This window comes from Homo sapiens, chromosome 12 (assembly GCF_000001405.40).
Source record: "Homo sapiens chromosome 12, GRCh38.p14 Primary Assembly".
Taxonomy (NCBI): Eukaryota; Metazoa; Chordata; class Mammalia; order Primates; family Hominidae; genus Homo; species Homo sapiens.
This window is the reverse complement of record NC_000012.12, coordinates 108,620,050-108,647,930: the sequence shown is the minus strand read 5'-3', so window position 1 is coordinate 108,647,930 and position 27,881 is coordinate 108,620,050. Positions and strand designations below refer to the sequence as shown.

Below are 27,881 nucleotides of genomic sequence, written 5' to 3'. Positions count from 1 at the left end.
CCTCTGGGAGAGTCACCCCTCTCTCTGGTCAGATAGAAGTTACTCTTGATGGAATGATTGGGGTGGTTAGGACGTAGGACACTGTTGAAGGAGCCTGTTTTGTCCTATAGTCTAACTGTGACCCAGGAGACCCTTTGTTTGAGTAAATGCACAGGCTTCGGGATCAGAAGTGGCACTGTGACACTGTGACACACTGTTGTTTTGCCACGGGATCTCAGATAGATCGGCCAGTGCTCATTGCATTCAAAGCCCCAGACATAGTAGGGCTTTGACTTCTCTTTTCAACTTGGTGACTATGGCTTGCCGTTTGCAAAATAGAAAACTACATTTTATATCTTACAAGTTTTGAACAGTGTTGAACTTTGTTTACTGCATTTTAATCACTGCCTCCTTTTTTTGTTTTCTTAGCAAAATGAAGCCAAGTTGGATGAGATTTTAAAAGAGATCAAATCTATAAAAGACACAATCTGCAATCAAGATGAGCGTATTTCCAAGTTAGAACAGCAGATGGCAAAGATAGCAGCCTGAAGGTCCCACCCCCACCCCTACAGAAAAAATGGGAGCAAGAACTTGTGCTTGGGAGCTGGTTATTGGTGTGGTCCTAGGGAGGGCGGAAAGGGAGGCACTGCCATTTGGAGACATTCCATTTCAGATTTGTCAACCAGCGATAGGCCACATTCCAGTAAGAACTCAATTTGTCTCCCAAATTTGCAGAAACAAAACGTGATTTAAAAGCTGAGCTTTTTATCAGAAAGCTTTTTTGATGTTTTAAGTGTTATGTGACTTGTTGAACTTTTTAAAAAGTGCTACTTTTAAAATCCCAGATACTCTGAATTTTAGAAAACAAACTAATTCTGATTGTGTCGTGCCCAAGTACCCTTTTTTTTTTAATGAATAGGGACCAATGCCACATTGCTTTTTATATTTCTTTCTTTTTTAATGTTGCCAAAACCAAAAGTAGCTTTGTTTTCCTTTGTATTTTGCTACTTTGCAGTATTTGTGTGTGTGGTTTTTTTTCCTTAATTTGAAAGGGACAGCACTGTGTATGTTTATAAACTAAATGAAGATAAGATATTATTTTGTATAAACATTCATCTGAGAACAATCAAAGCAGTAGCCACATGGTGCTGGCTCCTTTGCAGCACAAACCTGGTCATTTTGATGACTGTACAACAGGAAGACTTGAAAAATCACGTGGATTCATATTACCACCGCTCTCATTTCATGGAGTCTTCTGATCAAAAAAGCTCACGTCGTATTTCTTCTTTTCCTTTCTCTTTTCTAGAAATTGGGTGTTTGTACCAGAATGGAATTTTGCTTCTCGGTTATCCTGTGCTTCAGATGATTATAATCTAACCCAAACTAGCATGTGTTTCTGCAGTTTGTTACACACCTAGGATCATATTGCATTCATCACTTTAAACATCATGTTTCAGGTTTTGGTCAATACTTGACAAGGGTGCCCAGGACAGGAAGACGTGTACTGCTGAGTGTTCCTTCTTGCCCTTTTCAGCAGCTTGCCCAGCTCTTGAGTACAGTGGTGGGGACTAAAAATGTGGGCATGTGGAGAGGGGTATTTGCCCTGGGTGATCCTGTTTCCCTGTGCTGTCCCCATGCTGTGTTGGAGGAGGAAGTGGCTCTCCTTCCACCAACAAAGCTCCTGCTCTACCCTCTTCCTCACATGTGCTGCGACCTCTCTCAGGGCTCCCCCAGCCATTCCTTCTTTCCTTCCTGCCTTTTAGCTCTAACCACATTAAGCTAAGACAAGGCCAGAGGGTGCGATTGAATGAGTATTGAGACTGAGGAGAATGATAGAGAGTGAAGCAGAAACAGGAGCACAGACCTCTGCTGTAGCTTTAATGCATACAAACATGTCCCTCCGCACAACTAACCTGCCCTGCCTCTCCATCTCTCACCAAGGCTGCGTCAAAGCACAGAGGCTCCCCGGACTCGGAGGGGGCCAGAGACTGAGCTCTGGTCACCTGTTCATTCCTCGGTTAGCTGGAACTTTGCCCCGTTTCCAGTTTCTTATAGTGCATGCTTGGGAAACAAGATTTAAGGAGCCTCTGTTTTGGAAGGGCTGTCTGTGATTGAACGTGAAATGTGTAGTGCCATTGGGACCACGAAGGGAATTCTTGCACATGCTCGTGCTGGTGTGGGCATGGGACTGGCTGGAAACGTCTGTATGCAGGGAGCCAGGGTGAGGGCAGAGTGTGGTGACAGCCGAACTTGGAGTAATGTCCGTGTAGAAAAAGGACCATGTTCTTATCCAGCCAATACTGGGAGTGCTGTCTCCACAATTTCAGGGCATCTGAATGTTTGATGTGGTTTTGTGTGTGTGTATGTATGTGTTTAATATTGAAGTGGATCATGAGATGTAAAGAAAACAATAATGGCAATGACTTATATTCAAATCTGTATTTGTTTCTTTATCAATGTAATCTGCTGAGGACCTTTTGTCTAAGATTCAGTAGTGTTTTAAGGTTCTGATATCGAATTAATGAAGTAAAGTTGTTGATGGTGGTGAAACACCGTAGGGCATGTGGTTCAAAGAGAAGCAGGAGGGCAAGGGAAAGTTACCCTGATCTTAGTTTGTAGCTTATGACTTATTTAATGAATGGATGCCCAGCCAAGCTCAGAGTAGGCGCCCAAAGCATTGTGGATTATTTTCCTGTTTTGTCTTTTTTTTTTTTTTTTTTTAAGCCATGACATCCCAGAAGAGGACAGTGAATTACTCCTAGGTCGGCTCTTATAGAGTGGCCATAGTGTTCTGTCAAAACACTTGCTTCCATTTTCAGAGATAAAAATCATTGATTACAAAATGGTGTTTGTGTTTATTTCACGCCTTGGCTGTCTGTGAGGCAGCCCCCACCTCTCTGCCTGACATAGCTTCTCTGACTTTGGTGGACGAGCACGGTGCCATACTCCTCTCCGGGGGTAAGTACAGGGGAAGCGCGTGTGGGTGGCTCAGTTCAAGTACAAGTGAGGTCTCCAAGCCAGTCAAGCACTGTGTTTTGGCTTCCAGCAGACCTGAGCCTTTGGATCCTGCCTCAGACCTTTGCCAGCGGTGTGTCCTGGGATGGGGTTCCTAATCCTTCTGAGTCCCTTTTCTTGAAAGGAGGATGATAATTCCATGTAGTTCAGATGAGAGGAATACCTGTGTGGCCACACAAACAACCCTCGCTGCATGGCCGCTACTGTTACTATTATGAGTTGATTTTCTGACAGAGTCTTTGAAAGCACTTTTTCTTCAATAGAAGCAAAATTCTCTTGGCTCAGCTGTGACTTTTATTCCAGCAGGCTTCCAGGGTCAGTTGAATTGCAGGGCTTCCCTTTCGCACTATGACATTGTCTCGTGACATTTCAGTGATTGTAGCAAAGAATTTCCCACTGTTTGCTTTTTCTGAATATGATGAATGGTCAGCATAAAGCTCCCCTTCCTCAAATGCCTTATCTTAAAGTTGCTTTAGTCTATGAGAAGAATGGCTGCCATGTTCTTGGTCCACTCGTGGCTGCAGGAAGTAGAAGTTGGCAGGGCTCTCTGTAGACCCGAGGTGCCCGCAGTCAGCCAGGAGACGCGTGGTGGTCTGTTTATGACTAACTTGTTTTCTCACTCGGGCCACCTTGATTCTTTGCCAGAAGACCTGAAGGTCAGCATGCTGGCCCCAGACAGCCAGCCAGACCTCGTCTGGGGGGAACTTCCATTTTTTTTTTCAAGGTCACTTCCCTTGCTGTACTTGGTATTCTACACCCAGAAAAACTCTTTGTTGGCTCTTAAGAATCTGTTAACTCTAAGTGGGCCCTTCTCTTTCTGCGGGCACATTAAGTATCCCAGTGCTGGCAGTGGGTCACGGACATGAGTCACCGTCAAGGGCACGCCTTTCCTGCTTCAGACGGGCAACCCTTGATGTCCAGGCCGGACAGTGCCCTTTGTGCTCTTTTATTCGTTAAAAAGAAGTCCCTTGCCAAAGAATGTAGGGGTGGCAGTCCTCTCCTGCGAAAAGCGGGTATGTGCGGGGTGGACAGCCTTTCCAGAGGGCAGTCTGGCAAGTGGATCAAAAGCCTTAAAGGTTTTCTTAAGACCCAAGATTCTCACCTTTGGAAATTTTGTCCCAGGGAACTAGTGGGAGGTATATTCAGGAATTAGAAGAGTAAAATCAACTCTGCAGAAGGGGGTCAGTAAGTTACTTGTCATATCCATATGTTATAATTCTGTTCCATTATTTAAAGTCATTTAAAAAGAGTATTGAATAGGAAACATTAAAAAAATAGTAAAATAAAGTCAATTCCAACTTGGGTTTAAAATATATACCTACCTAGGTTGAAACATGAAAGTATATTATTTCTGGGTGCTGGATGTCACTACCAACTTTTTTCTGTGTATGCCAAGAGCCCTACAGTGAACTGTGTTGCTGATGTCAGCATAAAAAGTGTGTTTACAAAGTAATTCTCATCAGCTCTCTACCCCATGGAGTCACTCTGCAGTAAATGATGTTAGTTGGCTAATCCATTCAGAAGTAAAATGGGGAAGAAAGTGAAGTCCATTGGACCTCATAAGAACATTCAGGACCAGAACTTCTAGTGAGAGGTGTAGGTTTCCTAATACAGATATGTAAAACCAACCCCGAACAGATGGCTTGTGACAAACTTTTTAAAGGATATATGCATATACAATGTATACTTATGTGTAGAATAAATACCAGAAATGTTGTTATTGCTATAGGGAGGTAAAGTTGTGTGTAATTTCTATTTAATCCTATTTTTCTGAATTTAGAAATTTCCTATAAATGTATTTATTCCCAGAAAGGCATTATTAAAATTAATGTATTAGTGATAAGTTAATAATTATTAAGATAAGCATAAATCAGTGGAGATGTTTGAAATGGTGCAGCAACATTTGGTTAGCTGTGGGGGCAGCAGGGACACCAATATACATTCTTAATGGAGTCCACAGTTAAAATAAAACCTTTTCTTTTTCTATTTAGAAGAAAGTAAGTCCCTTTTAATCTACACTTCAGACTAGAAAAAATGTAAGCCCTAAAGCAATGGAATACATCACAAAGGAAAAGACAGATTGGCTATATAAAAATTAAATTACGTAAGACTTTAATATGGCAGAAAACAAAGGTCATCGGAACTGGGAAATACGTTTTCTTCCAATATAGTAAGGGCTAAGTATACTTTGATATGCTTCATCTCAGCTGCAGCTGCTGCCTCTATTTGAAACGTGACGTGTGAAATGTTAAGTCCTAGGCAGCTGATGTGCAGATGGCAGCTGTCCTCATCCCTCCTGTGGGAACCGAGTCCACCAGCAAATGGCTTATTCTCAACTTCGAACTTTGGGGTGTGGGGTGGGGGGGGGTGTGTTCGCTAGGCGACACTGGCCGTGGTGTGCCGGCTGAAAGTTCCCCTGTGGCGAGTGTCAGGAGGGCTGGGTGGGAGATGGGAATTACTGCGCATCCCAAGATCCTTGAGGATAAGGTGACTGCTGAGTTGGTTGGATTGGCTGAAATGTGGAGGGGGGTGAGTTTAGAGAGGCAGATGGGATCCTTCAAATTCATTGTAGTTGGAGTTTAATTCATGTGAACGAAAATGGGTAAGAGGGCAGATTTTAGGATCCTGAGTTTAGTGAGGGGCAGATAGAGGGTGAGGCACGCGGCTCCCTGACAGGCTTCATGGTGAGGGGCTAGAAAGCAACGTCAGGGCCGTTGCCCAGGGAGCCTGAGGGCAGAAGTCAGAGGAGGAAGTTACCCACTTCAGGACTCAACTTGGAAGGCAAGTAGACAGGTCTATTCTGCTGTCAGAAAAAATCTGCACACTTGAGCTTGGGCACTCACCACCGGGTGCTTAGTTTTGTTCTTAGAGTAGCTTCCTCACACTGATCTCAAAGAGTAAGTGGACTTTTGGGGAAGGACTTCCTGGTGGGTTTGGAACAGAACTGGGGAGAAGTGGCTCAAAGGCCCCCAGGCAGTTGTGGGGGCAGAGAAAGCTTTGGGCTGCCAGAGAGGAGCAGTCATCTGTGTCTCCGAGGGGAAGAGCAGGGAGCAGGCCTGGTTACAGTGGAAAGGGATCACACACAGGGTGCCTGGCCCCCAAAATGCTGCGGAACGTGGTTGGGGCTGGTTGCCAAGTTTGTCCAGGCTCCTCTCCACTGGGTGTCTCTCAGGCCCCCAGCAGCAGGGCTCCCTTCCCAAGAGCCCTGTGCCTCTCATCGCCCATTTCCTAATCTCTACCCCACTAGGTAGGGTTGCATTCGTCTTGGCATTCACTGAGTGAGAACTTGCATTTACAGTGAGAGTGTCACCGAGCTGGAGAGAACTGTAATGGAGCAAGTGACCCCTGGTCCAGCCAGGAGAGGTGCTCAGGCTAACACTTAGTGCCTTGAGGGAGTTCAGCAACAACATCCAAGCTTGGGGGCTCTAGTGATGAAGTCTGAGAACTGGGAAGTGCCCCATCCATGACAGGGAGCTGTTGCAGCTTCATTTCCGTGCAGAGATGCTATTTGGGTTGTGGAAGTTGGAATAATACCTCTTGGCGAACAAAATCCTGGGCTGCTTATCACCATCCCCACCTACAGCTCCCCAAATGCAAAATGAGTTCTTACCACCCTGAGCAGTGTCTTCAGGAGGCAGTGGCCTAGAATGCCTCATAAACCACAAGGTGGAGATTCCATCTGGGGATCTGGCCACCTGCCAGGTGCCTCCCCATGTAGATAACAGTCTAGTGTCCGAACAGCCTTGTAGCTGGTTTCTCTGCCTCCAACCGCCTGTTCCCTGTTTTGCTTCTAGAGTGATGTTTTCTGTCAAGGTCTCTGAAGGAGACACAAGTGATTATCCCTTTTGTCTACAGGAGGAAGTTCATGCTCTTCCACCTCTGAGCCTCCTTGACTCCCATCTCTTCTTGCGTATCCCACACCCAGGCTCTGGTTTCACAGTGCATCCATATCCCAGCTACTTCTCACACCTGCCCGGTGACTCCCCCAGCCTGTGCTCCCATCATTTCTGCGTGGACAGAGCCTCTCTATTAGCGTTCTCCAGAAGAAGAGAACCAATAGGGTCTGCGTGGGGGAAGAGAGAGAGAGATCGGGATGTATTTAAGGAATTGACTCATGATTATGGAGGCTGCTAAGCTCCAAGATCTGCAGTCAACAAACCAGAGAGACCCAGGAGAGCTGAGTTTTTCAGTTCAGATTGGAAAGCAGCTAAAAACTGATGTCCCAGCTTGAAGGCAGGCAGGAGTAATTCCTTTTTTTTTTTTTTTTTTTTTTTGAGATGGAGTCTCTCACTCTGTCGCCCAGGCTGGAATGCAGTGGCACGATCTTGGCTAACTGCAGCCTCCACCCCCTGGGTTCAAGCAGTTCTCCTGCCTCAGCCTCCCAAGTAGCTGGGACTACAGGCATGCGCCACCACGCCTGGCTAATTTTTGTATTTTTAGTAGAGATGGGGTTTCCCCATGTTGGCCAGGCTGGTCTTAAACTCCTGACCTCAGGTGATCCTCCCACCTCGGCCTCCCAAAGTGCTAGAATTACAGGCATGAGCCACACGCCTGCAAGGAATTCCTTATTACTCAGCCTTTTTGTTCTATTCAGGCCCTCAACTGAATGGATCCACCCACCCACACCAGAGAGAGCAACCTGCTTTACTCAACCCACAGATTCAAATGTTCATTTCATCCAGAAAACCCTCACAGACACACCCAGGGTAACGCGTGACCAGATATTTGGGCACGCCATTGCCCAGTCAAGTTGACAAGGTTAACAGTCACAGCTTCCTAACCCAGCTTCCCCCACCCACTTGAATCTGTTCTCAGAGCTGCAGCCATAGTCACCTTTTCAGGTATCAAGGTGGGGGAAGACATGCTAAGGCCCATGGGCTAACTCCAACCTGCCGGAAGCTTCTGTGTAGCCCACAAGCTAAGAAGGCTTTTTACATTTTTAAATGGTTGGGGGAAAAAACAATATTTAGTGACAAGTAAAAATGATATGAAATTCAAATTTCAGTGTCCATCAGTAAAGCTTATTGGAACACACTGTGCCTTGTCTGTGGCTGCTTTTGCTCTATACTTGAAGAGTTGAGTAGCTGCAACAGAGATCGTATGGCCACAAAGCCTAAAATATTTACTGTGTAGCCCTTTAAGAAAAAGCTCATTGACCCCTGTGTCTAAGGCTTCAAACCCTCCATGGTTTCCCATCCCACTCAGAATAAAAACTAAATCCTCACCACTGGCTTAGGAGGCCCCGTGTTGCCTGCCCTGCCGCCCCTCATCCTCTCCTGATGTTCTCTTGTGTTCAGGAGGCCTTCTACCCCTGAGCTTCGCAGGTGCTGTTCTCTCGGGAGTGCCCATCCTTTCCCCACCTCCAGTGTCTGCCCTTCCCAGCACTTCACCTGACCCCCATATGTAAATAGTGCCCGTAGCACCTTAGTAGCACTGATAGCTGATCTATCATCTCATTGGAGTTTTGAGTGTCTTCCCTGAATTGAATATAAGCCGCATGAGGACAGGCACTGGTTTCCTTCACCAGGATCCCCAGAATCTGGCATGATGTGCCAATCAGTACTTACTGAAAGACTGAATAGTTGAAAATGTAGACATTATCTGGGATGGGAGCACATATTGCATTATCCGCCCAGCGGTACTTTGCTCACAGAATAAGACTGTCCCGGAGCACAGTCAACTCCAGGTGACCTATGAGCCCCTTGGAGCCACCATCAGTGGCATCAGATCTGGGTTTTCCTTTATGGGGGCCTGGGAGTTGGGGAAGCCAGGGACCACGCAGGCAGAGCAGATACACAGTGATGAAGAAAGGGCTTCTGGGTCCCTGTAGCTCCCCGAGTCCATGCCTAAGGTCCAGCTTTATTTCTGATCTTAAATTCCACAAAATATCCCAGGACTCCTATTGCCAGGCCCCTGGCCTCCTCAAACAACACCAAGGTCTCTCCCCTAAAGACCCCTTCCCAGGGGTCTTTGAGGCCAGGTGATTGAGGATGTCTGCCAGAGGCATGGATTCCTTCAGCCACTACCCTCTGGGGAAGAATCACGGAGTCTGGAGTACATTTCTAACATTTGTTTGCCCTCTGGCCTTCCAGGTCTGGGACCAGCAGCGCTGGCTACCCCCAGCCCAAGCAGACCCAGTGAGCTGGGGAGCCCCTGTTTTCTTCCACTCTGGAGGAATGGCTTCATGCTGCAGTCTCCAGCCCAGAAACTGGTTCCTAGTGCCGCCCAGATTGGCAGCGAAAATCTGGGGCCGAAAGTGAACTCCCCAGAGCTCTGTTCCCATTTGAGAAAGGGAATTGAATCCTGGCTGGAGCAGGCCCACAGTGGACCATTTCCCCTTTGGATGATTCAAATCAGCAAGCTGTAGCCCGTGAGCCCCCCTAGCAGCAGGGGAACGGGGGAGGGCAGGCAGCTGGGCGTGACTTCCCCTCCTCCCTTCTGGGCCTTGCTTGCGAGCAGCTCTGTTCTTATTCTATTTCATGAGACCGTTGCTTTCATTCGAACAAAAGGTCCCATTGTGAGTAAACTGAAAAGACCACTGCCCTGAGAAACAAGCGGCACAACCAGCAAGACTCTTGCTTTCCTCGGAGGAAGGAACAGGCTTTTAATGGGCTTTGCAGTCTGGCTGGGCTCCGGTCCGCCTGTGCCCTCCTGCGCCACCAGGGAGCCTCAGTTTCCTTGGAGGGACAGTGACCACTGGCAAGGGAGGTGGGATTCTATAAGCGACGTCACCCCTGTTTTCCCCATTTTTAGGGAAGCGGACACAGGTTTGCATAGGAAGCCAGCACCTGGTCGGGGAGGGATAACAGTTCCTGACAAGTTACACATAGATTATAAAATCTCAGGCTATACCTGGCCTGTCAGTTATAGTCCTTGCCTAGCCACATATGTTCAGGATTCCACAAATGTTTAATTTTTCATTTTCTTTAATAACTGTACTGTTGACCAACCTAAGCTTGGTAAATACCAGGCTGAAGCTAAGTTGCGCTGGCTTTTGGCACCCAAGCCTCCAAGCCTTCCTCTCTTTGTCTCTATAATATGAGGCTTTATTACAGCTGTGCTTGTCACTGGTGGGAACAGTTCCCCACCCCGAAACAACAAAGAAGCAAAACGCAATTAAATAGACCACTGCACACATGCAGCTGTACAGGCTGTGGTGTTGCCTCTGGGGACTGGGGACCACCATGAGGCTGCAGGCATTTTCATCCATCAGCGAATGGAAGGAAGACTGAATTTAGTGCACGGATGATCATTTAAGTATAAAGAGGTTATAGGTTGTTTGTTTGAATACCAAATCTCTAGTTGCTCAGGATCCACTTGTAAGAGAGCTCCAAGTAGGGGCCCAATGAGCCATGTTTTTGCTTTAACATGGGGCTGTTCCAACAGTAGCAGGCAGTTAGTTACAACCAGGAGCACATTTTTCTCAGAAGACCCATAAACAGCTCTTGCTTCCTAGGCTAGCCCACTACTGGGCTCCAGTGTAGAGAGGAACCTAACACCCACTGGCTTTGCTGATTGCAATTCCTGCTCCACACCCCAAGCAGGCTCACACGGTGTTGCGAGGAGGTGGGGAGAACTGGGTCCTCTTAGACCAATCACAGCAGGCAAGGTCTGCAAGGAGGAGCTGGAATCACTTATATATTGAACCAATATTTATTGTGATTGAATGCAGGCTCTTTCATAGGACACCCTAGGTTCAGACTCTGGCTTTGCCACTTACTAGCTCTGTGACCTTAGGCGAGTTTCTTAACCTCTCTGGAACATTTTTTTTAATCTACAAAATGGGGATACTAATAGTACCTACCTCATGAGGCAGTTGTAACAATTAAACAAAGTAGTAGACCAGGCATGATGGCTCATGCCTGTAATCCCAGCACCTTGGGAGGTGGAGGCCGGTGGATCACTTGAGGCCAGGAGCTTGAGACTAGCCTGGCCAACATGGCAAAACCCCGTCTCTACTAAAAATACAAAAACTAGCAGGCCATGGTAGTGAGCACCTGTAATCTCAGCTACTAGGAAGGCCGAGGCAGGAGAATCACTTGAACCCAGGAGGCAGAGGTTTCAGTGAGCTGAGATCGTGCCACTGCACTCCAGCCTGGGCGACAGAGTGAGACTCTGTCTCAAAAAAAAAAAAAAAAAAAAAAAAAAAAAGAAAAAAAAGTAAAATAGACATCATTATATACATTTTTTCTATATACAAATATAGAAAAGAAAATATATTTAAAAGGAAAGGGGCATTAATAATTATGCCACCCAGAGATAGGCACCGTCAGCATTTCTTTCAGTCTGTCCTCTCAGCATGCAAGCACACTTGAATTATGCTGTTTATATACTTCTGTGCCCTCTCTTTTCTACCTAACAGGTCTTGAGTGCTTTATAAGCATTCAGTATAAATATAACTTTCATGCCTGCGTCACATTCCATCAAGGGACAGGTTTCTGTAGTAGGGGAGTCTGTGTTTTTTCCCAATATTTCTCTCACCTCAGATATCATTGCTTCAATCTTGGAAGGCAACTTGGAGTATTTTTCTTGGGCTTCATTCCTAGAAGCAGAAACATATTCACTTTGAGTCTTTGACTCTCACAGATGTCAGGTGCGGTGAAGTGTGGTTTTATGGTCTTCACACAGACGACATACACCAGATTTATCTTAGCAATATTTGCTCCTCTGAGAAGGAAATTTCACTGCTCAAGTCTCACCTTGAAATAGATTACTTGGAGCTGGGCGTGGTGGTGTGCTCCTGTAACAGCTACTGGGGAGGCTGAGGCAGGAGGATTGCTTGCTTGAGACCAGGAGTTTGAGGCTGCAGTGAGCTATGACCACGCCACTGCACTCCAGATTAGGCCACAGAGCAAGACCCTATTACACACACACAGAAGAAATAGCTTACCTGCTGCTAAGCTACTCCTTTTTCCTTACATATAGTAATTGCTGATGTGCTGGAGCTCACCGTTCAGCCTGCACCATCCCAGGCTAGGGGTTAAGATCAAGAACATTATTTCATGTGCCTGGACTTGAGTCCTGGCTCTGCCATTACTCTGTGTGCCCTTGAGCAAGGCACATTCTCCCTCTCAGCTTCAGTTTCCTCATTTCTAAAGGCAGCTTCGAGGATTATATGAGCTGATGTATGCAAAGCACCTACCACAGGGTCTGGCATTGACCACAGGCTCAGGAAACGTTAAGCGTTTGTGTTGTGAGGCTTTGCAGGTGATGAAACTATTCAACTCTGCCGCTGCAACGTGAAAGCAGCCAGAGACAATATGTTTACACCAATTAGTGTGGCTGTGTCCCAAGAAAACTTTATGAAAACGGAATCTCGAATTTCGCACAGTTTTTATGCATCACAAAACATTTTCCAACCACTTAAAAATGTAACCACCATTCTTAGCTCACAAGCTGCACAAAACCACGTGGCAGGCTGGATGTGACAGACAGCTTGCAACCACTCACCTCCGCTAATCAGAGAGTGACCTGCAGGCAGTCTTGGGTGTGTTTAGAGTTTCTCAGTCCCCTGTCCCTGAAGGATGGCTATTTCCAAACCTGCTGGGGAAGGGTGAGGGGCCTGGGTTCTAGGGGTCTCACTTCCCCTCTTGTGGCTTCAGTTTCCCTGTCCGTGCCGGCAGGGTGAGCTTTTGGCTGTTTCCAGCTGCAGCTTCTTAAGGTGGCTGAGACTGTGTCATGGCGAACACCTGCTGGGTCTCTGGTTTTCATTTTAAAACAACCTGTGTGCGGCTGGGCACGGTGGCTCACGCCTGTAATCCCAGCACTTTGGGAGGCCGAGGCAGGTGGATCACCTGAGGTCGAGAGTTCAAGACCAACCAGCCTGACAAACGTGGAGAAACCCCATCTCTACTATAAATACAAAATTAGCCGGGGTGGTGGCACATGCCTGTAATCCCAGATACTCGGGAGGCTGAGGCAGAAGAATAGCTTGAACCCGGGAGGCGGAGGTTGCGGTGAGCCGAGATTGTGCCATTGCACTCCAGCCTGGGCAAAAAGAGTGAAACTCCATCTCAAAAAAAAAAAAAAAAAACAACTTTGTGCAAGGCAAGATATGAGTATCTTTCTGTGCATGTCCTGAGCCCTTGCCTGGTGCAAAGCCGCAGGGCAGATCCTGGGAGACCCCCCTATTCCCTCCCTTCTGGAAGTGTCTGGGTATTCTTAGGCCTCCCAGCCTTTGCCTCTGCTGTGCTCTCTGCCTGGGATGCCCACCTGGCTTGTCATCTCAAGTGCCACTTCTTGGAAGCTCCTCCTGTTAACCTCCCTCCCCCACCCAGGATGGAAGGAGAGGCCCCTCCCTTGCTCACCGCAGGATGGCACTCACTGCGCTGTGTCATTGTGGCATGATGTTCCACCGAATTGTTTACTCGCTGGCCTCCCCATTGGATGGAGGGCTACCAGAGGGCCACAGCCCAGAATTGCTGGCCTTTAGACCTCAGGGCATGCAGTCTGGAGTGCCAGAGTTGGTCAAATGAACAAATTTAGGATGAAGAAATAAGATAAGCAGGACTTGCCCTTGTGGTATCTGTAGTCCAGCTCCCTAGAGAGGCTCTTGGTTGCAGCTGAAAGGGCCTGTGCTGTGCATCTACAGAGAGTGTTTTGAGTCCTGCGAGAAGAAATACACCATATTTGCAAACCCTTTGAAGGTTCATATTTTGTGTTTTTTGCTCCCTGACCACCTCCCACCCCTCCCCACGCCCCACCAATCTTGGGCAAGAAGCGAGACCATTCTCCTTTTTCTCTGGTCACTCCTGTCCTTCAGGGGGCTCCCTCTGGCCCCGACTGTCCATTGCTGCTGAAGTAATGCTGTGGCCTTTCTCAGTTTGGGCCCCACCCAAAACCGAAGAACTTCTCCCCAGAAAGCTTCTACTTGGTTCTCAGTGTTTTCACAGTTATGGGAACCCAAGAACAGTGTCAGACCTAGGAGGTGCCCCACTACCACCCTGTCTTTATCAATGTTGTCACCAAAGCTGTCACAAACAATGGGGTGTGGGCTGTCACATGGCCCTGCCTAAGTAACCACATTCTCGCTTCCTCCTTCCACACACAGCCATTGGGGGTTGCTCGGATCCGGGACTGCCGCAGGGGGTGCCACAGCAGTGCCTGGCAGCGTGGGCTGGGACCTTGTCACTAAAGCAGAGAAGCCACTTCTTCTGGGCCCACGAGGCAGCTGTCCCATGCTCTGCTGAGCACGGTGGTAAGTGCTGGCTTGCAAAACCACAGGGAGTGGCTGGAGGTCCCCATGGGCCAAGGGCCTGCCTTATAGCTGCTGGCAGGCCCGGGTAGGACCGCCAGGCCCTTCTTGAGCTGCAGCACCTGGGGAGGGCAAACTGAGGCTCCTCCGACTCAAGACTAAAGTCTTCCTGGAGTCTGTGGCCTTATTCTGTGACTCTTCTGAATCCTGCTCCTGCCAACTTTTTTTTTCCTTCTTTTTTTGAGACAGGGTCTTACTCTGTCACCCAGGCTGGAGTGCAGTGGCACAATCATGGCTCACTGCAGCCTTAAACTCCTGGGCACAAGTGATCCTCCCACCTCAGCCTCCTGAGTAGCTGGGACTACAGGCGCACATCGCCGCATGCAGCTAATATTTTTACCTTTCCTAGAGATGGGGTCTCACTTTGATGCCGAGGCTGGTCTCAAACTCCTGGCCTCAAGCCTCTTGCGTTGGCCTCCCAAAGTGCTGAAATTACAGGTGTGACCCACCAGCCCCAGCCTCCCATTAACTTACTTCCCTCCCTGGCCAGTTTGCCTGCAGCGTCTGGCTTGGCGGCATTCTGATTTTGAAAATCAGAGAAACCATGAGTGTTTCCCTAGAAATGATCTTATCCTCTCCTTTCCTGGATGGGAAACTGAGGTCGGGAGAGGTGAAGGGATTTGTTTAGGGGCAGAGCTGAGATTAGGTCTGGAAGACTCCAGAAAGTAGGGGGAGTGCAGGATTTCTCTTGAAGCTGCATGTTATGGACGCATAAAAAAGTTCTTTTCAGAGAAAGATGCATTCTTCCCACTTTTTATAAGACTGAGGAAATGACACTTGTCTGTGGCAAACTATTAAAATATTAGAATTAAGATACTATTGTTAGCAAAAGGGAAAACAATAATAATAATAATAATTAGAATATTTGGCTGGGTGCAGTGGCTTACACCTGTAATCCCAGCCCTTTGGGAGGCCGAGGCAGGTGGTTGGCCTGAGCTCAGGAGTTCTAGACCAACCTGGGCAACATGGTGAAACCTCGTCTCTACCAAAAATACAAAAACTTAGCTAGGTGTAGTGGTGTATGCCTGTGGTCTCAGCTACTTGGGAGGCTGAGGTGGGAGGATCACTTGAACCTGGGAGGGGGAGGTCGCAGTAAGCCGAGATTGTGCCACTGCACTCCAACCCGGGTGGCAGAGTGAGACCCTGTCTCAAAAAAAAAAAAATTAGAATACTCTTATTAGTTTGTATTTGAGATACTTTCAGGACACTAAAAGGAAATGGTGGGGGCCAGTTGTGCCCTGCTGTACACACATTCACACACACACACACACACACACACACACACACACACACCCCATATTGTCGATATCTGGGCTTCTGTTGCCTGGAATTCTCTTCCTCTTTCCTCTTTCTTCTGTTTTCCTTTTTTTTCCATCTCTGACTTTGAGGCCCCCAGAGCCAGGCCCCTCAGTGGGCCGGGGCCTCAGAAGGTGGCTCCCAGGCCCTCAGACAGCCCCAGAGTCTCTTCCGAGGCCGTGCCCTGGGTGGTTGATGCCTCCCTCAGCAGGCTTGGCCAGCAGCCAGGGGAGTTAAACCTCAGAGAGCGGAAGGGCTGGGTTGCTAGGCTGGGCCCAGAGTGGGGCATTCAGAGGAGCTGGGGAATCAATCATCCGAGAACCTTGGAGGGTGGACAGTGCCCCTTTTACAGATGAGAAAACTGAGGCTTGAAGGGGAGAAGCAGCTGCCTCTGGCGGCATGGCTTCTGGCTGCAGGATGCCCATGGAGTTCGTGGTGACCCTAGGCCTGTGTCTCGGCTTCCTTTGCTGAACTTGAACAGGAAGATGGCAGTGGGGGCCAGTGGTCTAGAAGGAGATAAGATGGCTGGTGTGTGTGTGTTGGGGGTCTGTGTTTGTTAATCTGTCTGTCTACACAGGGGTGTTTAGAAAACTGTTTAAAGACAGTTGTTCAACTAACCAGATGTAGGTCTCATTGAATTCATTTGTGCCAAGTACCTTACTGCCTCTGGATCAGGCCAGCAAGTTTGGGTTCCAACAGGTGTAACTTGGTTCTTGGTGGGGTGGAGGGTAGGGAGGGGGGTGTAACAAAAAAATCTCAACTAACACTGTGGTTTGCAAGCCACCAAACATTAAACAGATATACAGCATATCTGTGCTATTAACTTTTCATGAGGAGGGCTGGTCACCGTGGCTCATGCCTATAAATCCCAGCACTTTGGGAGGCTGAAGCAGATGGATTGCTTGAGCCCAGGAGTTTGAGACCAACCTGGGCAACATGGGGAAAACCCATCTCTACAAAAAATTTAAAAGTAGCCGGGTCTGGTGGCATGCACCTGTAGTCCTAGCTACTTGGGAGGATCGCTTGAGCCCAGGAGTTCAAGCCTGCAGTGAGCTATGATTGCACCACTGTAGTCGAGCCTGGGCAACAGAGAAAGACCCTATCTCTAAAATTAAATAAATAAATAAACCTTTCATAAGGGCGATGATAAGTGGGAAAAAATGTCTACAGAGACTCCCTGATGTGAGTTGAGGTAGATGACGGAAAGAGGTTGCAAAGTGTCAGCTGGCAAATGTGGTGTGAAAAGTGTGAAGACAGCACGTGCTGTGCAGTTCTGTGCACGTTCCCCTGCCTCAGTCACATGTCCTCTTCTGCAGAGGCATTTAGTGAGGCCCCTGGGGATGCCAGGAGACCCAGGAGAGCTCCTGCCCTCCAAAAACTTGTGGTCTGGTGGGGGCAGCAGAGCAGACAGCCACAGTGGTTGCCAGCCACTGGGGCGAGTGTTGCGAGGGGTGTGTGCCTGCCCATCGGCTGAATCCTGGGCCTGTGGCCTGATCAGCAAGACAGCTGTGGTTCCTGCCTTCTGGAAGTTTAGGAGTCAATGTGAATACATTTTTAGAAAATAAATGAACAGCAGAAATGATTTAAACACGGGAGGTGACTAATCGTGCCTGGGGCAATCTGGAAAGGCTTCTGGGAGGACTCAGCATTTCCCTGGCCCTCTTCAACCCACAACAACCCCATAAAAAGCGGGTGCTACCATTGTCCTTGTATTCCAGCTAAGGAACCCACAGCTCAGAGAGGTGAGGTGAGTTGCCCCAGGTCACACAGCTTCTAAGGGACAGAGCTGGGGATTGACCTGGTTTGATGTGACTCCCAGGGCACAGCAGGGCAGGGCAGGGCCTGTCCTGTCTACCCAGACTTAGATCTGCTGCCTGTGCCTCAGTTATCTGGGGTCTTTCCTTCTCTTGGTGACTACTTGACCCAAACCCTGAGATGCTCAGTCTTTTGAATTTTAGCATTCCAAGATCCTGCCCGCTCTGACCACCAGTTTCAGGATTCTCAGTGCAAGGTTCCTAGCGGCGTGGAGCCCCACGAGGATCTTTCCTGAGCAGCTCAGGGCGGCCACACGGCGGGTTCTCTGGAGCTGGAGTCTGGGCCCCCTGCAGCCTGCTCCTCCACACAGCCTAGATGGGGCCCATATGGGGTCTAGATGGGGCCTGGGCCAGAAGCAGCCTGGTTTTAGGGCGAAAGAGGCAAACGAGCAGTCTCTGACCTACTCTGTTAGGCAAGTGTTGAGACAAATAGGACGTGGTCACTGGAGACGCCTCTGTCGGAGCCCTGCCCTGGCCCCACTTCTGTGGGACTGTTTTTTGGCCTTCCAGGAAGAGGAGAGGTGGAAGGTGGGGCCTGGGAGTGATCCCGCCGCTCCGGGCCTTGCTTGCTAATCAGTGTGATGGCACCGTTAGAGCCAGTGAACACAGGGGTGAGGAGGAATGAGGTCACCAGATAGTGAGAGGATGAAATCATCCCTCCGTGGGAGGGGCTTCCACATATGTCATTTTTATTGTTGTATAATACATTTACTGTAGCAAATATTAAGGAGGTATTATGCTACCTGCCATACACGGTGAGAAAACTCAGCTCCTCCCCCTTCTACCTGTGTGGCCTCAGCTGAGACAAGATCTCTCAGAGCCTCGGGTTTTCTTTTCTTTCATTAAAAAAAATATGTTTTTTTCTTAGAGACAGGGTCTTACTCTGTCACCCAGGCTGGAGTGCAGTGGTGCGATCATAGCTCACTGCAGCCTTGACCTGGGCTCAAGCCATCCTCTGGCCTCAGCCTCCCGAGTAGCTGGGACTACAGGCATCACCAGCATACCTGGCTAATTTTTAATTTTTTTGTAGATATGGGTCTCAGTATGTTGCCCAGGCTGGTCTTGAACCCCTGCCTTCAAGTCATCCTCCTGCCTTGGCCTCCCAAAGTGCTAGGAGTACAAGCTCGAGGCACCGTGCCTGGCTGAGCCTCAGATTTTCTTTCTGTTAGATGGGCTGATGCCTGCTCAGCTGTGGCCTGGCTCCAGGCTGCTGTGTCTTAAAGCCAGTGGGATGGCAGGGACCAGGCTGGGGTGACCAACAACCCCCCACCCCCAGTTTGCCTGGGAGTGAGGGGTTTCTGGGGTTGAGGGACTTTCAGCACTGACACCAGGAACATGTAGGATAAGGTGGTTGCTTTAGACGGGCCCAGGAAAGGAGGTCTGGGCTTTCCGAATGTACCAGGTCTTATCATAACAGGTACGGAGGTCTCTGCTTTCTCAAAGCCCAAACACCCACAGGGGAGGTAGAGAGGCCGCCATCTCCATACCCTCTGAGTCTGAGACCTCCATTTCCTCTGCTCATCTGCCTGCAGCGCCGAAGAGAGTCCTCCAGATAAAGTACCCCCGGCTGGAAGCCAGCGTCTGGGAACTTCCATACACTCATTCAATTCTCATGATGATTTTTTTTAAGCAATATTGCCGGTTTTACAATGAGGAAACTGAGGCTTAGAGAGGGTGAAGCAACCTGCCCGAGTTTACACAGCCGCTAAGTGGGGGCAAATGTGGGATTCAGGCCCCAGCCTCTCCTCCACCCCAGCTGTCTCTGGGTGCAGGAGGCTGTGGGGATGGCTGTAGGGGAAGGGTGGGCAACAGTGACAGCCTACCTGAAGAACTGGGCCCCAGCACCCTCCGTGTTTCTGTGTTATTCTCCCAGCCTCCGGCCTGCTGCAAGTCCGGCCCTGACTCACCAAGATGCCTCCCCCAACCCGGGAACCAGGGAGACCAGGCCTTGCAACTTTGCCCCCACCTTCTCTGCTTCCAGGAAGTGGCTGAGGGCTTTGCCTTCCAGGAACAGAGAACTGCCCAAGTGGGGGTTGGTAGCTGTGAGTGTGCTCATAAGTATGAAATATGTCTCTAGGCTAATGGCTTCTTCCTAAAGTCCCTGCCTCCAGGAAAGTGGGGCCAAGGTTGGGCCGTAGATTCTTCCCCCAGATAAGAACTCTACCCCAAAGAAATTCTGCTGCCCTGAAGGCAAATTGGGAGGCAAAAGTGTGTGTGTGTGTGTGTGTGTGTGTGTGTGTGTGTGTGTGTGTGTTACATTTATTAAGCACCTACTGTAAGCTTGGAACTTTTGTTTTCTTGTTTTGTTTTGAGACAGGGTCTCACTCTGTCGCCCAGGCTGGAGTGCAGTGGTACAATCTCGGCTCACTGCAGTCTCAACCTTCCAGGCTTAAGCGATCCTCCCACATTAGCCTCCCCAGTAGCTGAGACGATAGGTGTGCATCATCATGCCTGGCTAATTTTTCTATTTAAAATTTTTTTATTTTATTTTTGAGGCAGGGTCTTGCTTTGTCACCCAGGCTGGGGTGCAGTGGCATGATCACAGCTCACTGCAGCCTCAATCTCTCCAGGCTCAAGCAATTCTCCCATCTCCGCCTCCTGAGTAGCTGGGACTACAGGGGCACACCACCACTCCTGGCTAATTTTTTGTATTTTGTAGAGACGAGAGACAGGGCTTCACCATGTTGCCCAGGCTGGTCTGGAACTCCTGAGCTCAAGCAATCCACCTGCCTTGGCCTCCCAAAGTCCTCGGATTACAGGAGTGAGCCACCGTGACTGGCCTAATTTTTCTATTTGTGTCGAGATGGGGATCTCACTATGTTGCCCGGGCTGGTCTTGAACTCATGGGCTCAAGTGATCTGCCTGCCTTGGCTTCCCAAAGTCCTGGGATTACAGGCATGAGCCACCATGCCCACCAGCCTGGAACTTTTGAATCTATCCCCTTGTTGCACTGTCTCAACAGCCCTGTGAGATGGGCACTGTTTCTTATCCCAATTTTACAGATGGGAAAACTGAAGCTCAGGGAGGCAAGCATCTGTGTCAAGGTCATACAGCTTGTAAGGGACAGAGCTAGGACTTGAACATCCTTTTTGTCTGACCCCACATCTATGCTTTCAACCCTATGCCCTGCATGGCACCCGGTAAATATGTGGCAGGCCTTTCTGGGGGACATAACTTTCAAGCTCCTCCTTTTTCTTACTCTGCCCTCCCTCTCCCACCCAAGTCCACAAGCCCAGCCTTCTGTCTCCTCAACTAGGTCAGGTGTCTCCTGACGGCCTCATGCCTTCCTGAACCTCACTGGGTTTCAGTCTGATCTTGACCTCTCACCAGCTGTGTGTCTTTGGGCAAGTCACTTCACTTCTCTTAACCTCAGTGTGGTCCTTGGTAAAATGGGGATAATTGTGAGGGCCAGATGTCTCTGGTGCAAATATCGTAAAGTTTGGTTTAAGAAAGTATTTTTTTATTTTTTAGACAGAGTTTTGCTCTTGTCTCCCAGACTGGAGTGCAGTGGTGTGATCTTGGCTCACTGCAACCTCTGGCTCCCAGGTTCAAGCAATTCTCCTGCCTTGGCCTCCCAAATAGCTGGAATTACAGGGAGCACCACCACGCCCGGCTAATTTTTGTATTTTTAGTAGAGACAGGGTTTCACCATGTTGGCCGGACTAGTCTTGAACTCCTGACATCAGGTAAGCCACCTGCCTTGGCTTCTCAAACAGTTGGGATTACAGGCGTGAGCCACTGCACCTGGCCTAAGAAATTATTTTAAGATGTGGGTCGGGTGTGGTGGCTCATGCCTATAATCTCAGTGCTTTGAGAGGCCGAGGCAGGAGGATTGCTTGAGGCCAGGAGTTTGAGACCAGCCTGGACAACAGCAAGACCCCGTCTCTACAAAAAAAAAAAAATTAAAAATTAACCAGATGTGGTGGCATGTGCATATAGTCCCTACTACTCAGGAGGCTGAGGTGAGAGAATCACTTGAGCCTAGGAGGTCGAAGCTGCAGTGAGCTATAATTGCACTACTGCACTCCAGACTGGGCGACAAAGTGAGAATCTGTCTCTAATATAAGTAAGTCAATAAATAAATGGAAATAAATTAGTTTAAGATATGATCAGATTTGCATATTTGAAACCAACATAGGCCTGGCACGGTGGCCCACGCCCTGTAATCCCAGCACTTTGGGAGGCCGAGGTGGGCAGATTGCTTGTGGTCAGGAGTTTGAGACCAGCCTGACCAACATGGCGAAACCCCGTCTCTACTAAAAATACAAAAATTAGCTGGGCATAGTTGTGTGCGCCTGTAGTCCCAGCTACTTGGGAGGCTGAGGAAGGAGAATTGCTTGAACCCGGGAGGCGGAGGTTGCAGTGAGCCAAGGTCGTGCCACTGCACTCCATCCTGGGCAACAGAGCGAGACTCTGTCTTGGAGAAAAAAAAAAAAAAAAAAAAGAAAAGAAACCAACATAATTCTAACTAACATATGAAAGAGATCAGATTGAACCTGGCTGGAAGGTGAGGGGCCCGTGAGTGAGTTACAGTCACCCGAGGAATGATGAGCAACTGTTCGTTCCTCCAAATCATGTGAATGAAGTACAAAGGAAGAGACTGGAAATTGTCCGGGTGCTATTCTTGAATGCCCACTCTGCATCAGACACTATTCTAAAAGTTGTGTGCTGCTGAAGGGTGTTATATCCAGGGAATGCAGGAATACCTGAATCCTGCCCCAGAACGTGGCTGTCACTCACCATAGGATTCTCAGCATAGAATTTTTAATTCTGTAAACACCAGCCAGTGCCAAGGAGAGCATGAGGGGAGAGAAAGAAAACAAGAAAGCACAGGTGTTCACAATGCCAAGAAGAAAGATCAATGAGATGACCAAACAAGAGGCACTGTCTTTTCTGGCTACCTAGTAGGGAGGACAATGTAGAGTCTCTGAATAGACAGTGGTCCTACCCACAGGCACACTCAGTGACTATAAGCTTCCTGAGAGCAGGGCTGTTCTGAAGAGATTTGAGTTTTCTCCTGGCCATGGAGAGTGTAATTAAGTAGCCCTGGGCCCTTGAAGACTTATAGTGCAGGTTGACTGAAAGAACTAAATCAGCCAGTCTTTGCGGAGAGGTTGTCATGCAAACGAAGTGCTAAGGGTCTTGCATGCATCCCTTCATTTTATCCTCACAATAGGCTGTGAAGTAGGCACCGTCATCCCTGTTGTGCATTGTGCAGGCAAGAACACCACCAAAGCAAATGGGACCAAGACAAGACATTGAGAAGGAATGAGACAAACTGAGACTCTGAGGACTGGCAAGGGCTATGGAGGGTGGAAGCAAGATAGGAGAAGGAGGAAGACAGACATATAGAGGTGGCATGGCAGTGGGCAGGGAGAGGGGGCAGCAGGTAGAATCAGACTCCAAGAGGCCTCAAAGGTCCAATAAGCAGCGGTATCTGGGAGGTCTGTGGTTTACAAACTCTTCTGCTTATGGACTTCGTAAGTGGTCAATTAATCTATTTATGAATTCTGTGCAGGTACTACTTTACTCTTATGATAGATTATAAATAATGTAATACTTGAAATTAAGAAGGAGTGACATGAGGTCGGGCGCAGTGGCTCATGCCTAATCCCAGAACTGTGGAAGGCCAAGGTGGGCAGATAACTTGAGGCCAGGAGTTTGAGACCAGCCTGGCCAACATAGTGAAACCCCGTCTCTACTAAAAATACACAAATTAGCTGGGTGTGGTTGTGCATGCCTGTAATCCCAGCTTCTCAGGAGGCTGAGACAGGAGAATCACTTGAACCCGGGAGGTGGAGGTTGCAGTGAGCTGAGATAGCGCCACTGTACTCCAGCCTGGGTGACAGAGCAAGACTCCATCTAAAAAAAAAAAAAAAGAAAAAAGGAGTGACATGAAAAGTTAATAGAACTAGAAGCAGAAGCACTAAATCTTTCTACACCCCAGTGGATTGTCTTGTCCACAAATAAAGTGGCTTAACCAAAATGGAGAGGGAGGCAAATCAATTTCTATGCACCATCTAGAAGAAGTTAAAGGGCCCTCCTGGATGGCTTTATTCATGTTGATGAGTAATAATAATAACTGCTACTGGCTGAGGATCTTCTCCATCCCAGGCATGTCAGGGATGCCTAAGTCCCCAGTCCCTGCTCCAGACCAGACATGCTTCCAGCTGTGGCAGTAGAGGGTGGTGGTCTAGGGTGCTTGCTAAGCCCAAGGGTGAAACTGTCTTGACATCCCTCCGCCCATTGTCTCCTCCTAGGTGCCATGCCTCTGCAACTCCTCCTGTTGCTGATCCTACTGGGCCCTGGCAACAGCTTGCAGCTGTGGGACACCTGGGCAGATGAAGCCGAGAAAGCCTTGGGTCCCCTGCTTGCCCGGGACCGGAGACAGGCCACCGAATATGAGTACCTAGATTATGATTTCCTGCCAGAAACGGAGCCTCCAGAAATGCTGAGGAACAGCACTGACACCACTCCTCTGACTGGGCCTGGAACCCCTGAGTCTACCACTGTGGAGCCTGCTGCAAGGCGTTCTACTGGCCTGGATGCAGGAGGGGCAGTCACAGAGCTGACCACGGAGCTGGCCAACATGGGGAACCTGTCCACGGATTCAGCAGCTATGGAGATACAGACCACTCAACCAGCAGCCACGGAGGCACAGACCACTCAACCAGTGCCCACGGAGGCACAGACCACTCCACTGGCAGCCACAGAGGCACAGACAACTCGACTGACGGCCACGGAGGCACAGACCACTCCACTGGCAGCCACAGAGGCACAGACCACTCCACCAGCAGCCACGGAAGCACAGACCACTCAACCCACAGGCCTGGAGGCACAGACCACTGCACCAGCAGCCATGGAGGCACAGACCACTGCACCAGCAGCCATGGAAGCACAGACCACTCCACCAGCAGCCATGGAGGCACAGACCACTCAAACCACAGCCATGGAGGCACAGACCACTGCACCAGAAGCCACGGAGGCACAGACCACTCAACCCACAGCCACGGAGGCACAGACCACTCCACTGGCAGCCATGGAGGCCCTGTCCACAGAACCCAGTGCCACAGAGGCCCTGTCCATGGAACCTACTACCAAAAGAGGTCTGTTCATACCCTTTTCTGTGTCCTCTGTTACTCACAAGGGCATTCCCATGGCAGCCAGCAATTTGTCCGTCAACTACCCAGTGGGGGCCCCAGACCACATCTCTGTGAAGCAGTGCCTGCTGGCCATCCTAATCTTGGCGCTGGTGGCCACTATCTTCTTCGTGTGCACTGTGGTGCTGGCGGTCCGCCTCTCCCGCAAGGGCCACATGTACCCCGTGCGTAATTACTCCCCCACCGAGATGGTCTGCATCTCATCCCTGTTGCCTGATGGGGGTGAGGGGCCCTCTGCCACAGCCAATGGGGGCCTGTCCAAGGCCAAGAGCCCGGGCCTGACGCCAGAGCCCAGGGAGGACCGTGAGGGGGATGACCTCACCCTGCACAGCTTCCTCCCTTAGCTCACTCTGCCATCTGTTTTGGCAAGACCCCACCTCCACGGGCTCTCCTGGGCCACCCCTGAGTGCCCAGACCCCATTCCACAGCTCTGGGCTTCCTCGGAGACCCCTGGGGATGGGGATCTTCAGGGAAGGAACTCTGGCCACCCAAACAGGACAAGAGCAGCCTGGGGCCAAGCAGACGGGCAAGTGGAGCCACCTCTTTCCTCCCTCCGCGGATGAAGCCCAGCCACATTTCAGCCGAGGTCCAAGGCAGGAGGCCATTTACTTGAGACAGATTCTCTCCTTTTTCCTGTCCCCCATCTTCTCTGGGTCCCTCTAACATCTCCCATGGCTCTCCCCGCTTCTCCTGGTCACTGGAGTCTCCTCCCCATGTACCCAAGGAAGATGGAGCTCCCCCATCCCACACGCACTGCACTGCCATTGTCTTTTGGTTGCCATGGTCACCAAACAGGAAGTGGACATTCTAAGGGAGGAGTACTGAAGAGTGACGGACTTCTGAGGCTGTTTCCTGCTGCTCCTCTGACTTGGGGCAGCTTGGGTCTTCTTGGGCACCTCTCTGGGAAAACCCAGGGTGAGGTTCAGCCTGTGAGGGCTGGGATGGGTTTCGTGGGCCCAAGGGCAGACCTTTCTTTGGGACTGTGTGGACCAAGGAGCTTCCATCTAGTGACAAGTGACCCCCAGCTATCGCCTCTTGCCTTCCCCTGTGGCCACTTTCCAGGGTGGACTCTGTCTTGTTCACTGCAGTATCCCAACTGCAGGTCCAGTGCAGGCAATAAATATGTGATGGACAAACGATAGCGGAATCCTTCAAGGTTTCAAGGCTGTCTCCTTCAGGCAGCCTTCCCGGAATTCTCCATCCCTCAGTGCAGGATGGGGGCTGGTCCTCAGCTGTCTGCCCTCAGCCCCTGGCCCCCCAGGAAGCCTCTTTCATGGGCTGTTAGGTTGACTTCAGTTTTGCCTCTTGGACAACAGGGGGTCTTGTACATCCTTGGGTGACCAGGAAAAGTTCAGGCTATGGGGGGCCAAAGGGAGGGCTGCCCCTTCCCCACCAGTGACCACTTTATTCCACTTCCTCCATTACCCAGTTTTGGCCCACAGAGTTTGGTCCCCCCCAAACCTCGGACCAATATCCCTCTAAACATCAATCTATCCTCCTGTTAAAGAAAAAAAAAAATGGGACTGGGAGCAGTGGCTCATGCCTGTAATCCCAGCACTTTGGGAGGCCGAGGCAGGTACATCACCTGAGGTCAGGAGTTCAAGACTAGCCTGGCCAACATAGTGAAACCCTGTCTCTACTAAAAATACAAAGATTAGTCAGGTGTGGTGGCACATGCCTGTAGTCCCAGCTACTGGGGAGGCTGAGGCAGGAGAATTGCTTGAACCCGGGAAGCGGAGGGAGGTTGCAGTGAGCTGAGATCACGCTACTGCACTCCAGCCTGGGTGACAGAGTAAGACTCCGTCTCAAAAAAAAAAAAAAAGATTCAATGACCCTTGTTAAAGCATGGTAAGGAAGACTTTGTTCAAGGGGAGTGGGACTCTCTCAATCACTGCAGGGACTGCAGCTATGGGATTTTGCAGTGGGGGCATTTGGGCTCAACTATGAGTACAGCAGGGGCAAGTGGGAGCTGATAGCCAGGGAACAGGGTTGGATATCTGCAGCTGGAAAATTACCAAGAGGAAACATCAGGGGAAGGGGAATTCTGGCTAAACTGACTGCTGGGGATGGGTTCTCGGTCATTTTCTACACTGACCTAACAGGATTCATACTGGAGGCAGGCCAGGGTGCTCAGACATCACCGGGGGGATGGTGGCAGATGAGGAACGTGATCAGATATAGGAGGTGATCAGATATGGGAGGTGATCAGATATGGAGTGGTGGGGGGAGGGTTGTTGCTAAGCTGACTTAGCAGAGTTCTTGTTAGAACTGGATTTTATTTATTTATTTATTTTGAGATGGAGTTTTGCTCTTGTTGCCCAGGCTGGAGTGCAATGGCGCGATCTGGCTCACTGCAACCTCCGCCTCCTGAGTTCAAGTGATTCTCCTGCCTCAGCCTCCTGAGTAGCTGGGATTACAGGCATGCGCCACCACGCCCAGCTAATTTTGTATTTTTAGTAGAGATGGTGTTTCTCTATGTTGGTCAGGCTGGTCTTGAACTCCCGACCTCAGGTGATTCTCCCGCCTTGGCCTCCCAAAGTGCTGGGATTACAGGTGTGAGCCACCACGCCCGGCCCAGAACTGGATTTTAAAAGGAAGTGCACAGATGGGCCTAGGAGAGGACTCAGGGGCCTGACTGATTAAAGCTTGGCCAAGCACAGAATCTTTCCCACTCTCCAGAAGCTCACCCTGACCTCTCCTTTTCACTCAGGCCCTGTCTCTCATTAACAGCCAGTAGCTTATTGGTGATCCTAGATGCAGCCTGCAACCTTTTGTACAACTCACAGAAGCACTGATTTGCTGTCAAATGGTGGAAAAGTTCAAGCTGCCAAACTTTTTCTTAAAGGACCAAACAGTGAATACTGTAGGCCTTAACTGTTGCAACACCATAGCCTCTGTTGCAACAACTCAACTCTGTCCTTGTAGTACAAAAGCAGCCACTGACAATATGTCCATAAATGAATGCGCATGGTTGTGTTCTAATAAAACTTTATTTACAAACGGGCGGCAGGCTCATTTCAGCTCCGTCAGTTTGCTGACGCCTGATTTTAAGCATAGGGTGACCAGTCGTCCCAGTTTGCCCGGAACTTTCTTGATTTTAGCACTGAAAGTCCCATATTCCGTGAAACTCAGCCCCAGTAAACCAGGTTGGCCCTGCTATTTAAGCAACACTTGCATTATCCCATTCAAAACTCACACTACCTTGTGGGGGTCAGGTCACCGCCCAGTGGATCCACCTTGCCTGCTGCCTAGACAGAGCCGATTTATCAAGACAGGGGAATTGCAAGGGAGACAGAGTAATTCATGCAGAGCAGGCTGTACAGGAGACGGGGATCAGAGTTTTTAACGACAATTTGGCGGGTA

The 27,881-nt window shown here is 49.5% G+C and overlaps 2 protein-coding genes, 1 long non-coding RNA gene and 1 other non-coding gene across 10 annotated transcripts in view, besides 3 other annotated features; 2 read left to right on the top strand and 2 right to left on the bottom strand.

Annotated features, from left to right (window-relative positions):
• The window catches only part of CORO1C (coronin 1C), an 86,410-nt gene extending 83,588 nt beyond the window's left edge, over positions 1-2,822 (top strand). For all 3 annotated transcript variants that reach the window (NM_014325.4, NM_001276471.2, NM_001105237.2), the window contains exon 11: positions 409-2,822. In NM_014325.4, the coding sequence (NP_055140.1) occupies positions 409-528 (120 nt within the window). In that variant the 3' untranslated portion in view covers positions 529-2,822. The remainder of the gene's footprint in view (positions 1-408) is intronic.
• Positions 1,266-19,285, bottom strand: LOC105369968 (uncharacterized). Of its 4 annotated transcripts, XR_007063447.1 has the most exons (4): positions 19,182-19,285; positions 11,885-13,600; positions 11,476-11,536; positions 1,266-7,057 (listed from the first exon to the last, which is right to left on the bottom strand). It is a non-coding gene; the product is annotated as an uncharacterized LOC105369968 (long non-coding RNA). The 4 variants fall into 4 exon arrangements; XR_007063449.1 differs by having other exon boundaries at positions 1,266-11,536; positions 11,694-13,600; XR_007063448.1 differs by having other exon boundaries at positions 1,266-11,536.
• MIR4496 (microRNA 4496) lies at positions 12,061-12,121 on the bottom strand. Its single transcript, NR_039717.1, has one exon. It is a non-coding gene; the product is annotated as a microRNA 4496 (primary transcript).
• Positions 13,226-13,275: a silencer, noted in NCBI's record as "silent region_4830". NCBI's record gives its function as "represses an Ori minimal core promoter by ATAC-STARR-seq in GM12878 lymphoblastoid cells {active_cell/tissue: GM12878}" and the evidence as "EXISTENCE:reporter gene assay evidence [ECO:0000049][PMID:35858748]".
• SELPLG (selectin P ligand) lies at positions 14,037-26,036 on the top strand. 2 transcript variants are annotated; one of them, NM_003006.4, is made up of 2 exons: positions 14,037-14,191; positions 23,619-26,036. In NM_003006.4, exon 2 carries the CDS (start codon positions 23,624-23,626, stop codon positions 24,860-24,862), a length of 1,239 nt encoding a protein of 412 aa, NP_002997.2. In that variant the 5' UTR covers positions 14,037-14,191; positions 23,619-23,623; the 3' UTR covers positions 24,863-26,036. The 2 variants fall into 2 exon arrangements, with proteins under 2 accessions (NP_002997.2, NP_001193538.1); NM_001206609.2 differs by lacking the exon at positions 14,037-14,191 and adding an exon at positions 15,850-16,072.
• Positions 14,516-14,565: an enhancer, noted in NCBI's record as "active region_6973". NCBI's record gives its function as "activates an Ori minimal core promoter by ATAC-STARR-seq in GM12878 lymphoblastoid cells {active_cell/tissue: GM12878}" and the evidence as "EXISTENCE:reporter gene assay evidence [ECO:0000049][PMID:35858748]".
• Positions 15,974-16,123: an enhancer, noted in NCBI's record as "active region_6972". NCBI's record gives its function as "activates an Ori minimal core promoter by ATAC-STARR-seq in GM12878 lymphoblastoid cells {active_cell/tissue: GM12878}" and the evidence as "EXISTENCE:reporter gene assay evidence [ECO:0000049][PMID:35858748]".
• Positions 26,037-27,881: the final 1,845 nt, after the last annotated feature.

Excerpts from the sequence above, each read along its gene's own strand:
- SELPLG (NM_001206609.2), top strand. The coding sequence starts at position 16,030 with ATGGCAGTGGGGGCCAGTGGTCTAGAAGGAGATAAGATGGCTG. Across the intron at positions 16,073-23,618 it reads AGAAGGAGATAAGATGGCTG|GTGCCATGCCTCTGCAACTC; the intron begins GTGTGTGTGTGT and ends GTCTCCTCCTAG.